At 39.0% G+C, this 14,988-nt stretch overlaps 1 protein-coding gene across 4 annotated transcripts in view, besides 2 other annotated features; it reads right to left on the bottom strand.

Moving 5' to 3' along the window:
- Window positions 1–13,006, bottom strand: part of HTR1F (5-hydroxytryptamine receptor 1F) — a 201,134-nt gene extending 188,128 nt beyond the window's left edge. The window contains exon 1 of one of the 4 annotated variants that reach the window (NM_001322208.2): window positions 12,380–13,006. The gene's annotated coding sequence lies outside the window, so the exon portion shown is untranslated. Of the gene's footprint in view, window positions 1–12,303 lie in introns of all 4 variants that reach the window. The other 3 variants (NM_001322210.2, NM_001322209.2, XM_011533664.3) reach the window with 3 other exon arrangements.
- Window positions 3,970–4,157: a transcriptional cis regulatory region, noted in NCBI's record as "candidate enhancer chr3.2985 targeted for multiplex CRISPR interference". NCBI's record gives its function as "positively regulates HTR1F gene expression with high confidence in K562 cells {active_cell/tissue: K562}" and the evidence as "EXISTENCE:mutant phenotype evidence [ECO:0000015][PMID:30612741]".
- Window positions 7,378–7,698: a transcriptional cis regulatory region, noted in NCBI's record as "candidate enhancer chr3.2983 targeted for multiplex CRISPR interference". NCBI's record gives its function as "positively regulates HTR1F gene expression with high confidence in K562 cells {active_cell/tissue: K562}" and the evidence as "EXISTENCE:mutant phenotype evidence [ECO:0000015][PMID:30612741]".
- Window positions 13,007–14,988: the final 1,982 nt, after the last annotated feature.

Raw genomic sequence — 14,988 nt, 5'->3', positions numbered from 1 at the left:
CTAGGTATTAAGCCTAGCATGCATTAGCTCTTTTCCCTAATGCATATTTCAAAGTAGTTAGAAGAATTTGAAATGTTCCCAACACATGGAAATGATAAATACCCAAGCTGATAGATGCTCTAAATATCCTGACTTGATAATTACACATTGTATCCATGCAACAAAATATTACATGTACTCTCTATATATGTAAAATATTATACATCAATTTTAAAATAAAAAAAAGATATGAAATACACAGGAAAAACCTAAATAAGAAATGCGTGGAACTCATAGGAAGTCAGTTATAAAACTTATTGACAAACATGAAATATCTAAATTAATTCAGAGACACTGTATTTCCCTGTGGAAAATCCAGTCAGTCATTTCACATTAATCTATACTCAAACTGCTATTCTAATAAATATCTTAACTTTTCTGCTATCTCACAAAATTGACCATGCTCACTAAGGAGGAACAAATAGGTGGGAATAAAGAAAATTTTGGAGAAGAGTGGTAAAAAAAAAAACCTTGCTCTACAAGTTGTTAACATATTACAAAATTTATAATAACTAAAAGCAATGTAGGCTTGCTGCCACAATCAAATAAGGGAGCAACTAAATAGAACTCATCACTTTAAACAGAAACACCCAGTAGATGGTAAAATTAATATTTCATAACAGTGGGGATAGAATGACTTTCAAAGACATGGCATTAGTATCAAAAGGTTGACTCTAGAAAAAAACATTATGATAACAACTCATCACACTTGATATATAAATATGAATTTCAGCTTGATCAAAATTCTAAATTAAAATAAATAAGGTAATCAAAATTAGAAGATATAAAGAAATGTCCAACAGATCTTTAGATGGAAAGTTGCAAGCTTACTGTTGGTTTCATAAAACCAAAACCAAACCAAAGTAAAAAAGTTGAATTGTTAAACTACATAAAATTTAAAATTTAAAATTACATATTATCAATAATTTCTATGAAACAAGTTCAAAGACATCAACAGAGGGGAAAATTTGCAGCATACAACAGACAAAGCTTTGGAAGAATAAACATCTATAGTAACGTGAGCACAAAGAACTGCCAGACAACTCAAAAAGGAGAAATTCAAATAACAATAAAAATAGGAAAAATACTGATATTCAAATTTCTAGATAATAAAATGGGAAATATACCAAAATCAAGAATTGAGATATATAATTTTGGCTATCAACTCAGCAAAACTTTTTAAAAAGCTAAGATACACTATTCAGTTATACTCAATTTTTTTTGAGAATGCTGTTATACAATTTTAGAGAATTTTTTTTTCCTTTTTGAGCAATGAGCTCTTGCTGTGTTTCCCAGGCTGTCTCAGCACCTGGGCTCAAGCATTACTCTCATTTCAGCCTCCCGAATAGCTGGGACCACAGGCATGCACCACCAAGCCTAGCTTTTATTTTATTCTTTAAAAAGTTTTATAAATATATTCATCTTTTCAACAATGAAGAAAATGTTATTAAAATAAAATCACATTTTTGTATGTCAGAAACACCTGGATGGTGAGAAATATGAAACAAAATACTTTTTAGTTTTAAGTGTAAATATTGCAATTCATTATTATTTTAAACCTGACAAATAATAAAAAGATAAAACATATTAAAAATGAAATCAAAGGAGGATACAGTTTTTTTCTCTAATAACTTAGGGTCAAAGAGCAACAAAATCTATAGCTGGAAAATGATAGGACTGAATTGTAATGTGGATTTGTACGCCCAGTTTCACCATTTATCTGCTCTTGGCTATAAAACAAACCATCTCTGGGAATCACTTCCCTCTTCTGTAAAATGGGGATAATCCTTCTTGTCCACCCTTGAAGATAACGTGTAATAAAATATCTGAATGAAACTGTAAAAATGATCAGTTTATTCTCAAGTTACTATGATTGTACTCATGGAATTATATGTAGTTCTATATTATTCTTCTACCTACTCCATTGTTTGTACACTGGGCAGAAGTATTCCTTCTACTTTTCAGTTTGGAAGACCTGATCTGACTTTTATTATGCTTTAGAATTCATTCACTGAGAAAGCACTTCCCTACTGTAACACGAATTGTACATATTTTGTATCTTATGTCAAATTAGATGCTGCTTCTGAGTAATGTTCCAATATATGACACTGGTTTTACTGTAACCTTTCTGAATATCACTGCAGAAGTGAAATTGTCTACTTACAATTTCACAGTAGTATGATGCTTTCATACTTTTTAAAAAGTGCATCAATCTGGATAGATTTTCCCCCCTTAGATCCTGAGGATAGCAATGATGTTCAATGAGATGTTGCACCTGCTTTTAGTGAGAGGGTAAATCTGGGAGAATATATGTAGAAAGGAAGTTTGCATAGAATTGAGCTAAATCTTGGTAAACTTCTTTAAGACGAAAATGAAGTTTGTCAGGATTTTAATCCTTACACTTGAAGGCCCTTTCCAGGATTATGACTAAGATAAAATAAATAATATTTTCTCTCTTCTGATATCTTATAAAATTGATGGTGGCTGAGTGAACTTAATCAGAAGAGAGAGGGGAAAGGAAAATTCACAGATGAATTCGAGAGAAAATGGTTTTTGGAGCATTTGAAATCCAGGTTCCTTTTCTCAAAACAGAAAGGCTCCAAATCATACAATCTAGACTTCATTTAGGAAAGGTAAGAATAGACAGCTCCATTGCTTTTATTTCAACCAGAATTACTAAGATTGAAGGGTCCTCCTTGGCTTGTCAAGCAGCTGCCAAGATTCTAAAGAACCTGCTAAAAGATGCCTTGAATTATTAGTGCTGTGTTGTGGTAGCTGCACTGGATGAAATGTAAACAGAATGTTGCAATGGGCACTTTCCAAATCTGCGACTTATTATTTCAAACATTATTTAATAAAAAGGCATGAAAATATGCAACTAACCTATTTACTTTTATGTGTACCATAAAACTAAGCTACCCTTGCTTGTAAGCATGTGCCAAATTAGTCTTTTTCTGATGTTACTTAGCTATTAATACACTGGTCAGGAATTTTGCTTCCTATGATAATTAGAAAACAAAATCAAGCCAGGAGCGGTGGCTCATGCCTGTAATCCCAGCAGTTTGAGGGGGTGCTGAGGCAGGAGGACTGCTAGAAGCCAGGAATTTAAGACTAGCCTAGGCAATATAGTAACATACTGTCTCCAGAAGGAAAACAGAAAAATTAGCCTGGCGTGGTGGTGCAGGCCTGTAGTTCTAGCTGCTTGGGAGGTTGAGGTGGGAAGATCACTTGGCCCCCAAATTTCAAGGCTGCTGTGAGCTGTGATCATCCTACTATTGCACTCTAGCCTGGATGACAAAACAAGACCATGTCTCAAAAAAAAGAAGAAAGAGAGAAAGAGGGAAAGAAGGAAGGGAGGAAGGAAGGAAGGAAGGGAGGGAGGGAGGGAGGGAAGAAGGGAAGGAAAGAAAGAAAAAGAAGGAAGGAAGGAAGGAAGGGAGGGAGGGAGGGAGAGAGGGAGGGAGGGAAGAAGGGAGGGAAAGAAAGAAAAAGAAGAAAGGAAGGGAGGGAGGGAGGGAGAGAGGGAGGGAGGGAAGAAGGGAGGGAAAGAAAGAAAAGGAAGGGAGGGAGGGAGGGAGGAGGGAGGGAGGGAAGGAGGGAGGGAAAGAAAGAAAAGGAAGGAAGGAAGGGAGGGAGGGAAGAAGGGAGGGAAAGAAAGAAAAAGAAGGAAGAAAGGAAGGAAGGAAAGAAAGAAAGCAAAGCCATGCTTTATATATTTTTCTAAATATCACAAATGACTTAAAAACAAAGTATTAAAGGATCAAAACATAATTATAAAATAAGGGCTTTTCATGTCTAGGTATTTGGATATAACCTTGACTATTTTAATGTATATACTTCTTTTTACTTCTATAAACTATCTATCTCCAATACGAAAGGAAAATATCTTAGGCCTCCAAAATCACTAAGGAAAACTCAAGCTGCAAGCTGCTTAGGGCAAACCTGCCTCCCCTCCCATTCTATTCAAAGTCATCCCTCTGCTCACTGAGATAGCCTCCTTTGGAAAGGCTAATCAGAAACTCAAAGGAATGCAACTGTGTGTGTCTCACCTATCTGTGATCTGGAAGCTCCCTCCTGGCAAGTCCTCCTGCCCTTGCTTCAAGATGCCCCACCTTTCCAGACCAGATCAACGTACTTCTTACATATATTGATTGACGTCTCATGTCTCCCTAAAATGTATAAAACCTAGCTGTGCCCCGACCACCTTGGGCACATGTCGTCAGGACTTCCTGAGTCTGTGTCACAGGTGCACTCTTAACCTTGGCAAAATCAACTTTCTAAATTAATTGAGACCTGTTTCAGATATTCTGGGTTCACACAAACAAGATTTTACTCCACTAATTTTCACTATAAGTGTGCTACTACACTGGTATACTATAAGGTATAAGATGAGGAGATAATACAAAAAGAAAGGAAAGACTGAAGCTAAATTAGCACCAAAGAGCTTTGAATCCTAGATAAGCTAGAAAGTTAAGCCTCTGCAAAAGATGAGTGCTTATTAATAACTCCAGATTTAATTCAGATATTTTTGTTCAATATTAGTTGGCATTGTTTTGAAATAGATGAAAGTTTGACATAAGGAAAATGTAACTCCATATTCATTTCAAGAAAAAAGAATAGAAATAACTATAGTAATGTCAATTTATATTGTATACGAAAAATAAAGGCAGCTTAACACTAAAGTGGGTTATTGAGTGAGACTATATACTTTTCTTGATATTTTGTTAAATAAGAGAAATAGCCATCTGTCTTAAAGACTGTAGATACAGAAGATTACATTAGGAAACTTCTCTGGGGTTTTATTTTGTCTTTTAATTTTATGAAACAGTTTGAAAGAGAGAAATGCCATAGACAGAGTACCAATGAACCAAGAAAGACAATTTTTTGAGGTGATTTCCAGAAAATCACTCCTACTCAAGGGTAGTTGTAAAGTATTACATAACATGGCTTGTTTACAGTTGCTCTTAACTCAGGCAACACAAGAGTCACAGAAGTTTCCCTTTGATGCTGTTTGTGCTGAGCACTACAGTTCATTCAGTCTGAAGATACAGAGATGGAAAAGACTCCATTTCTGCCTCCAGGTACTCACTAGCCTAACTGGAGAGAAGAGACATGTAAATAAATAAAATACAAACAGCATGGTGAATGCACTATGGATATTTACAAAAGGATCACAGCTACTTTAGAGGAGTGAATTACTTTTTAGCAAAGGAAGAAGTCTGGGAAGAAAAACAAATCCATGTAAATTTTGGCAAATGACTAAGAATTTGCCAGGTGGAAGGAAGGATATTCAGAGCTGAGAGAAGAAAGGAAAACCTATGTCAGAGAAGTGTGAGTAGTTCCCTGTTGCTGAGCATAGCTAGTGGGCTGGCAAGGAAGGGTGGCTGAAAGTAAAGTTGGAGCAGAAATTCAGAGGAAGAAGGACTTGGAAGGATGAGCTACAGGGCTTGGCTTGTTCCCAGAATGACATGAGGAGCCACTAAAGGATTTTAAGCATGAGACAGAACTAATACCTAAAGTTAATTTGGTGACAATATGGGAAAAACGACAAATGAGGGCAAGGCTAGATTCAGGGAGATGAGTTTGGAAGGTATTGAAAGAGTCTAGACTAAGCATATTGAATAAGTAAGTAATGAATGATCAGGAAAGTATAGTATATTCGAGAGACCCATCTAAGAGTAGTCTGACTGTATTTGGCTGAGTCTGGAGAAAAACTTTAAAAAAGAAATTTGGAGAGTCTCTCTGATAGAATATGGACTATATGAGTCTTAAACATTTAGGGGAGAAAGATGAGTTTAATTATGAACCTGTTAACTGAGCATGGAGGTCATCCATCTGTCCATGTTACCATCTTGAGGGCTTTTAGTTTAATAGGGAGGATTGGGCTAGATATGCAGAAGAGAGGGGAATTTACCCCAATGCCAGGATGTATCCTACTGGTGCTACTCAGGGGACTACTTGTACCAGCTCATGGAATTACATAATGTTGTATCAGATAGTGAGGGTTTTATTCTCCTTTCAATTTCCTTTCCCTTTGGATTAACCACTTCAAAGACTTCTAGCTTGGTGGAAGTTTGTTCTTAACTTTTGCTCATCTACTTTTTACTTCAACAGAATATCAGCCTCGGGCTCAAGTCTTTTAGCTGAGAATAAATACCTAATTAAAATGTAATAATATCACTATGTTGTTTGCTATATTCTTTTTATCATTTCATCTTATTTGTGGCAGTAGTATCAATTTTCCATTAACAATATTGATAAGGATTTTATTTTTATTTATTGCTATTTTAAAATATGATTCAATTTAAAGAAATGATATAAATAAGAAACATTGTTGTATGCAGGTATGAAAAAAAATCATGAAGGCAGTATGTATAACGACTTGGATATACCAAAAGGGGACTATTATTGGGTAATGCTAGAACTGAGAGTCACCTTCACATTTGGACAAACTAGGATTCATCATCTCATTTGGTGTTGCTGAAATTACAGTAGCTGATGAAATTTTTTTATAAGAAAGCCTGGGAAAGATTCCCAACTCTCACTGATGGACTTAAATGAGTCTGCTAATTGTCTAAAATTATCTGCAAATATTTGTATCTATGTGCATTTTTCCCTTGGGGAGAAATGACATAGTTTGTTTTTATTTTCATTTTTTCCTATTTTTGTTTTGAGACTCTCAAAAGGATCTTTGACCAAAACATAAAATGGAAGTGAATGAACAAGAGAGCTAAGAATGGGCAATGGAAGAGGATCACCAAACGAATGAAGAAGTAAAAATCAAAGATATAATAAGGGGACCAAGAGAGTGCTGTCAGAGACTTCACAGGAAAGACAAGTGTCTCTGAGCCTCAGGAAAAATAAGGCATGGATGATTAATGGTTAGCTTTGTCCAATGTTACTGAGTCATTCGGTGAGCTGAGTTTTCAGTGATCAGTAGCTTCTGATTTAATAATATAGTGACTATTGCCAAAGTAGTTTCATGGGATCGTGGGAGTGGAATCCGGCCTGTGGTGGGAGAGGAGTTAATGGGAGTGGAGGAGCTGGTGACAGGAAATAAAAATTAGGTTTTTTTTTTTTGAGGGAAGATAGCTGAGAAAAGATCAAATGGGACTCTAGCTACGGCGGGTGGAGGGGGGTCAGGGTCATGAGAGTTTTGCTGTTTTTCTGCTGGTTTTATGGATGGATGGGAGTGATATAATCTTAATACCTTTAAATAACAAAGTCATGAAATACAGAAGAGGCTCAAGTTGCAGGTGGTTAAAAGAATTGTTTATGAAGCAAAATTCAGATTGGAGTGGGGGCAGTTGTGGGACCCAGAGCAGAGAGGGTGGTCAGCTTGACAATCGGCCTAGAGGGAAGCAGAGGAGCTGAGCAGATAGACATACAGGAGTTGGAACTGGTGAGGGAGATTCATTCTTGAGAACCTCTGAAGTCCCGGTGAAGAACTGTCCTGAGACTGAAGGGGGAGGGGGCAGAGACAGTGTTAGTTTGGAGCAGGTGGGAAACTGGAGGGAGTGGCAACCAATGGTAAGAAAGATTTGATGAGAGTGATGATCCGAATGACATTAAGACCTGAGACTTTATGATGCCATCAACTGCAATTGTACATGCAACTGTCCCAAGCACACTTAGCTTTAGGAATGTAGGATGCTGGCCAAAGGACAGATCCAAATCTGGGAGTTTCTGGGAAATGGCACTGTCCCTGTTCCTCAACCTGCTAGTTCCCTCTCTTACTAGCACCAGTCATGCCATCCCCTACCACTTATTAAAGGGTTTGCTCCCACAGTATTCCTTTTTGTCCCACCATCAGCTTTGCCTTCTGTGTAGTTTATCCTCATTGGTCTACTTCCGACATTAGTAACTCCCATTTTAAAAACAAGTCTCCATGGCCCACTCCAGCTACTTTTAATCTTCTTTTTGAAACTTTTTCAGAGTTGTGTGGTACATAGTATTAATTTCCTCATCACCCATTCTTTATTTTCTTTCATATTTTAAGCTACATTTTTTTTTCAGATTCATGCGTGAAGTTTTATTTAGGGTTTTGAATAGCTAATCTATGTGCACGTGATTCAAAGGTATTAAAGTATATAAAAACAGAGTTTATCTTCCTTCTATCATTTTACCCTACCATCCAGTTTCCTTCCTTGTAGGAAACTACTATTGTCTACTGTTTTTAAAATATGTTTTCATATAAAGGCTCATTTTGATTTGTTCTGTAATAAATGATAGCATTTCAAACATACTGCATTGCAACTTTTTCTGCTAGCTTAGCAGACTTTGCAGATCTTTTAATTTTAACATATGGAAAGCTGCCTAATAATTTTAACACCCAGATAGTATTCCATTGAATGTACATACAGTAGTTCCTAGTTATCTATTAGGCATAGGCCCAAGACCCCCCAGTGAATGCCTGAAACCATGAATAACTCCAAACTCTCTGTATACACACTATGTTTTTCCCTATCCATACATACCTATGATAAACTTTAATTCATAAATTAGGCACAGTAAGAGATTACCAACAATAACTAATAACAAAGAACAATTATAACAATACTCAGAATGACATGCTATTTAAAACATGATTTTTGTATGTCTGAAATTTTCCATTTAACATTTTTAGACTGCGGTTGACTGCCGGTAACTGAAACTAGGGAAAGTGAAACTGAATAAGGAGGGACTACTATATATAGATTATTTGGCTTGTTTTCTATGTATACGTATTTATGTTGTTTTCAATTGTTTGCTTATGTACAAAACTGCAAAGAGTAACTGTGAACATCTATTATTATTTTTACTTAAGTGCAAGCATATCTATAAGATAAATTCCTAGAACTGGAATCACTAGGTCACCAATCTATGCTCAATTCTTAAAGATCAATCTTGTCACCACCATTTTGACTGAAATAGCTTAATTCCAAGGTAATTCTTTGCCTTTACATAATTTTGTACTTTAGCAACATTGGACACAGCTGATCAGCACTTCCTTTTTTCTTAAAAAAAGTACTTTCTTCTTTTGGCTTCCATAATATCACACCCTTCTGGATTTTTCCCTATTCCACTAACTGCTCCTTCTCAGTTTCCTTTTATGGCTCCTACCCTCTTCAATATCCATATTTTGGACTGCTCTAGAACTCTTTTCTCAGCTTGATCCTTTAAATACATTCTCCCCTGAAATTATTTCATAAAATCCCGTTCTTCTAAATGCCATTTATATAATGATGACTCACACATTCTTATCTCCAACTCTGGCTTTTTCCTTGAGCTCTGTCCCATCTACCCGTTATGCCTGCACCTAGATATCTAGTAAGCTGCTCAAAATGTAACTGTTCCTTTGTCTTCTCATATCAGTTGGTGACAACTGCATTTTTTCCTGTTGCTCTGGTCATAAATCTAGACATGAGCCTCAATTCCTTTCCTTCCAACACCCACCATATCTAATCTATCATCAAGTCTTGTCACCTTTGCCTCCAAATACATCCAGAATTCACACACTTCTCACCATCTCTACAATACATCCTGGTTAAAGACTAGGCTGGCAAACACTAGTGACTGCCTGACAGCCTTCTTGCTTCCCTTCTTGTCTTCCAACAGAAACTCTCCACAGAATAGCAAGAAGTTATTGGGGAAACAGTTTCCTGCTGAAATGCTTTCATGTCTTCCCACTGTACATAGAAGAAAATACGAGCTCTGTACCCTGGGTTAAATGGACACATATTACTTCTGAGAGAAGGAAATAACACAAAGAAATTGGAAAGATTATGAAATTAATAGAGTTTCCCCTTTTTCATACTCATTGATGTAATTTTTGCCTATTTCTGTTCATTTCTAGGCTCTAAAATATGTCTCTTTTGTTCATTTTCAAATGGAAGGATCATGTCTGTTTCAGATGTCAATTTTGAGTTTTCCTACTGCACTTCAAGGTTCTCACTTTTAGATCAGAAATTAGTATTTCTTCTCTGTCTAATTTAAGGCTGAGGGAATGGAAAAGTAAGGTTTCCACTTACAGGGCACGGGAACTGTGGTTCTAGGTTGGATCACTACATATGTTTCCCTAGGGGTTTCTGGACCTGGCCACTGAAAGATTAATAGTGCTTTCAGCTAACAACCAGAAGGCAACACACAGCATCTTGTTTACCCTGCCTCAAACAGCATCCCGTCCACCTTTCATATTGGAAAAAAAAGAGAATCCTGCCATGGTTTTGCAAATATCGCTATGTCCATGTTGTTTTACATTACCCAGTTATTACTAACGTACTAGAGAGTGCCCTTCAAACATCTTTAAAATGATTTCAGTAAAAGTTAATCAAATTCAAAAAAGACCACATTTGCTAGATAAGAAAATTTAAACTATCACTCCTTTTATTTCTGATTAAGAAGTAAGTTGGCCGGGCGCTGTGGCTCACGCCTGTAATCCCAACACTTTGAAAGGCCAAAGCGGGCAGATCACGAGGTCAGGAGATCGAGACCATCCTGGCCAACATGGTGAAACCTTGTTTCTACTAAAAATACAAATTAGCTGGGTGTGGTGGCATGCGCCTGCAATCCCAGCTACTCAGGAGGCTGAGGCAGGAGAATCGCTTGAACCAGGGAGTCAGAGGTTGCAGTGAGCCGAGATTGTGCAACTGCACTCCAGCGTGGAGACAGAGACTCCATCTCAAAAAAAAAAAAAAAAAAAAAAAAAAAAGTCAGTCATAATTTTGAAAGTCTTTGGGAAAAATATGCGCCCAACTTTAAATAAAAATAAAATATCTTCTAAGAAAAGTATGTGTATAATTTTAATTAACAGCTTTATAGTAGTCTTTATAAGAACAATAAAAACAATATAACTAGTTAATATATTCATTTTTAAAAAGTGAACAAGTTGACTTTACAAATGTGCTGTTGCTCAATCCCACCCATTTATATAATAAAATTTGGCTAATGCGGCAAGATGGCAGAAAGTGCATTATTCTTTAAAGTCCTCATTCCAACAAATAAGTTATTTGTATGCTGTTGACAAGGAACAATCCCTTAATATAACTTAAGCTCATTAGCTCTGTAATAAGCCCACTTGGATGAAGCGTGAATAAATGATTCATACTAACTGAAAGACGTGTGGAAAAATATACTGAACTTCCTTGGATTAAAAATTAGTAAAATAAGTTATTTTCATAGGAACTCCTAAGTTAATAGCAGGCAAGTGTAAAATTTGTTCTAGAAACATCTGAGTTTGTTCCTTTATTGAACCACCTCTCCCAAAGCTTAGAAAACCCCTTTTGATTGGAAACAGTGAATACATACTCTCATTCTCAAGACTCACTTTGAAACAAAGATTAGAATGGGGTGGGGGGAAGCATGAACGACTCTTTCCTTAGGGAAGGCACGAAGTGGTGATGCTTGGACCTGTTTATGAGTTTGGGGAGGGGAAAATGGAGAGGAAGAAGAGGAAGAGACTGCAAGCCCAGAGGCGATGGCAGAGTCTTCCTCGGGTTTGCTTCTGCGTGGATACCCTCACTTTATCAGCGAAATGTAGCCCAGAGTTCATTCCACCTCTCACAAGAAACACACAGACAAATGGGGCACACCAAACTTAAGCATCATTAGACTGTTGATCATCAAATCAAATTTCAAAGACTTGTATGTAAATAGAACTAGAGCGAAACCCGTTTTAAAATTTGTACTGTTTTCCTGTTTTCTCTCTCTCTTTTTTTTTTTTTTGGCATAGCATATCCACTAAAATTTAATCAAATTGTAATAATTATATATCTGTTCCAGAATATGGGGGAGAGGTTAATGCCACCTGCTTATGTCATCTTAAATATTCACCTAACAAATCATCTTAACTATATTACGATCGTCAAGGTGCCTGGGAAGTAATTAACATGCAGGAAAAACAAAATCTGCTCCTTAAGGCTTCTTCCAAAGTGCCTGTCCTTACGAAAGGCTCTCTCATCCAGGGCCCCATCAGTGGCCACCTCTTTCATGCAAACTGAAATAACCTCAACATCACATCCAGCATTGGAACCTCCCCAAATGCCCATCTCCGTTTGCATTTTTTCTACTCATCCCTGAGCTCTCACAGCCCCTTTAGGGGCAGGACCCCTGAGGATGAACCCTCATTCCGCCGGTCTCTCGGATCCCCCTTTCTCTTTTGCTTGATTGCCCCTCCAAACAGGAAGGCGCCAACAACCCTACCTTGAGTCAGACCTGCGGCAACTAGGCAAGCTGCAGCCGCGAGGTAGAAGCTCTCTCTGACCCTTTTACCTTAATGGTTCGTACCCGCGGGAAATAAAGTTGGAAAACTGCAAGCGATTTCCGATCTACGGCTTCTTCCAGCTCCTCAGATTTATCTTACCGTCCCCCCCGCGAATCCTCTCAAGATCCCACCGAGAGATGGATTCGAAGACTCTCCCCTCCTTCCGCTGCTGGATTCTGGCCCGTGCCCCGTCTCTCTCCACCCCAGCGGCTTCCCGAGGTAGGAGCGCCAGGAGCCTGCGCCCTAAGTGGGGTCTCGCCGGCTTGGACCGCCACCCCTCGCCCTTGGGCCCGGGTCAGACCCCTCCCTTCCTCCCAGCCTTGACCACTATCTCCGCCTAGCACCACAGAACTTCGCCCCCAGGGAGCAGAGGTTGTGGGCAGAAAAGGGAAAGGGCAATTCTTGAATTCCTGCGCTGTTAGATCAAAGTAGTGTGGGAAAGGACTTGGCGCCGGCTTCCCAGCGTTTCCGCCGAGAGCAAGCGCTGTCCAGCCTCCCACTCCCCACGTCCCCACACCCCTTCCCCACCTGCGCGCCAGCTGCGGGCGTGACCCGCACTCCCGGGCTCAGCGCTGATCCGCACACTCACCCCTGGCGCTCCCTGCAGCAGTCGGAGCTGGCAAGGTGGCGCCCCCAGCCCCGGGGCGCGGGAGGGCAGGGGCGACCCCACGGGGCGGGAAGACAGCAGCGCCTGTCGCCAGCTTTCGGGGCCGCGACGCTGACTGCGCGCTGGGGAAGTCTTGCGCCGCCCTTGCGGGTCCGGGGCGCCTGCGGGTGGGCGGACGCCCCAGGCTCTCCAGCACGCCTAGCAGCCCTCTCCTCTTGCCTTCCTCCCTTCCTTCCTTCAACACCCCTCTCTCCCTTTCTCTCTTGCTTCTGTCACTTTTTCGCCTCCCTGCCTCTTCTCTCCTCCGTCTCCTCCCTCCTCTTTCACTGATGCGTGGAGAAGGGCGGGGGAGAAAAAAGTCCAGTCTCTTAAACTTGAGTGATACCTTCGAGATTATCTGTTCATGGAATCCGAAAAATGACGTGAATCACTTTTCCGAAAACCTTTAAAATAAAATGATTTTTGCCTCACATTTTTTCATCTTTGCGTCTTCTTCCCAGTGACTCTTTTTATCCAGCTGGGTGGCTAGCAATGAGAGAGGTCAGATAAAGAAAGCAAAACGGGAATTATAGGTAGAGGACTTAGGAAGTGGGATCGTGAACAGCCATTGGGTGGGCCCAGGGATTAATTTACCCACAATTTCATGAAGAATGCATTTTCTGAAAAAGAAGTGGTGCTGGAGCATGAGAAGGAAGATAGGCAAGGTAATAGGGTCAGGATTTATTCACAATTTTATTCTCAGGCATGCCTGGTGGTTTATCCAGGAGATGCCTTAGCATATGTTTGTAGTGCTTTGACCTGGAGAGAATACGTGACCTTTTCCGTTCCTGGCCTTAAATCGTTTTCGACTAATGTTTGGTAGCTTGCAAAGAGTCCAGTTAGCCTGCCAGGAATTCCCCAAATCTTCTTTAAAAGACCTTAGAAGCTTGTATGCTTCTTGGAAGGTGGCAATTTTTCACCACTGAAACAGGTCTCCAATGCTGAGAAAGGTGGGACAGATATTTATTTATTTATTTATTTATTTATTTATTTATTTATTTATTTTGTACAGAGCACCGCCTTTGTAGTCCACAGATGCACCTTCCCAAGACTGAGTTTTACTCTAAGCCTGACTGTCTTAGATTCATATTCCCAGAAAGGAGCTACTGTTAACGAGAGATCCTTTCTGTTCTCCCATTTCCCAACACTAAGTTGATCTTAGATGAGTCTTTCTTATAGACCAAGCCTGTGCTTTCCAGCCCACCTTCCTTCCATTGGTGAAGTCATCCATGATATTCTTCTGGTATCATATATTTAAATGAGATAGCGTATATAAAATACTAAACATAATGCTTGGCACTTAGTAGTCAGAAATGTTAGCAGAATTATGGGTAATGACGTCAGATTATCATTAGCATTTATTTTATGTTTTAATTCTCTCACGTAGTTTTTTAGCCTCAATTTCCTATGCCATGACTTGCACAGTTCTTGTCTTTGTCCCTTATAAATATATGACAGAGTGTTTATGGCTACTCTTAGCAGAGTACAGTGAAAATAATTTCAGAGGAAGTCCAGATTTATAACTTTCCTAATAGGACACAGTAATTTCTCTAGAAGATATGATATTGACAGCCTTGACTTTACACTTGTAACTGAAAGTAATTTGTAACAAATCTTGTAGATGACAGCCATGGATAAAGTCCAAAGTTATATTTCCTCAACAAGCAGATTAAGAATATCTCCACTTTATACACAGAGTTTCTGCAATGATAGTGCAAACAGCAAGTTGTCCATAGGAACCAACCTGCAATCTGGAGAGCTGAAGACCTCAACTTTAAGGTGTTTCCAGATGACATATTTGGACTTACATAGCTGGAGTTTACAATTTAATGATCTATCTTGGGAGTAGTTATGTTAAGTGAAGGTGTGGAAAATACCCCATCTGTGATGCAAGAGGAATATACAGTTTCAGATGCTTCTGCTATTGCTACTGCAGCAAACAAATTGGTTAGGTGTCAGTGATGAAAATGCACCTTGCGTGCTGCAACAGGACATTGTGCCCTAGAGGTATTCCATTTGCTATTCAGTGCACAGATACTTAACCTGGCAGGCAGGACACAGT

The sequence above is a fragment of the Homo sapiens genome, chromosome 3 (assembly GCF_000001405.40).
Source record: "Homo sapiens chromosome 3, GRCh38.p14 Primary Assembly".
In the NCBI taxonomy this organism is placed as follows: Eukaryota; Metazoa; Chordata; class Mammalia; order Primates; family Hominidae; genus Homo; species Homo sapiens.
Note: the sequence above shows the minus strand (reverse complement) of the source record. Positions and strands in the feature narration are given on the sequence as shown.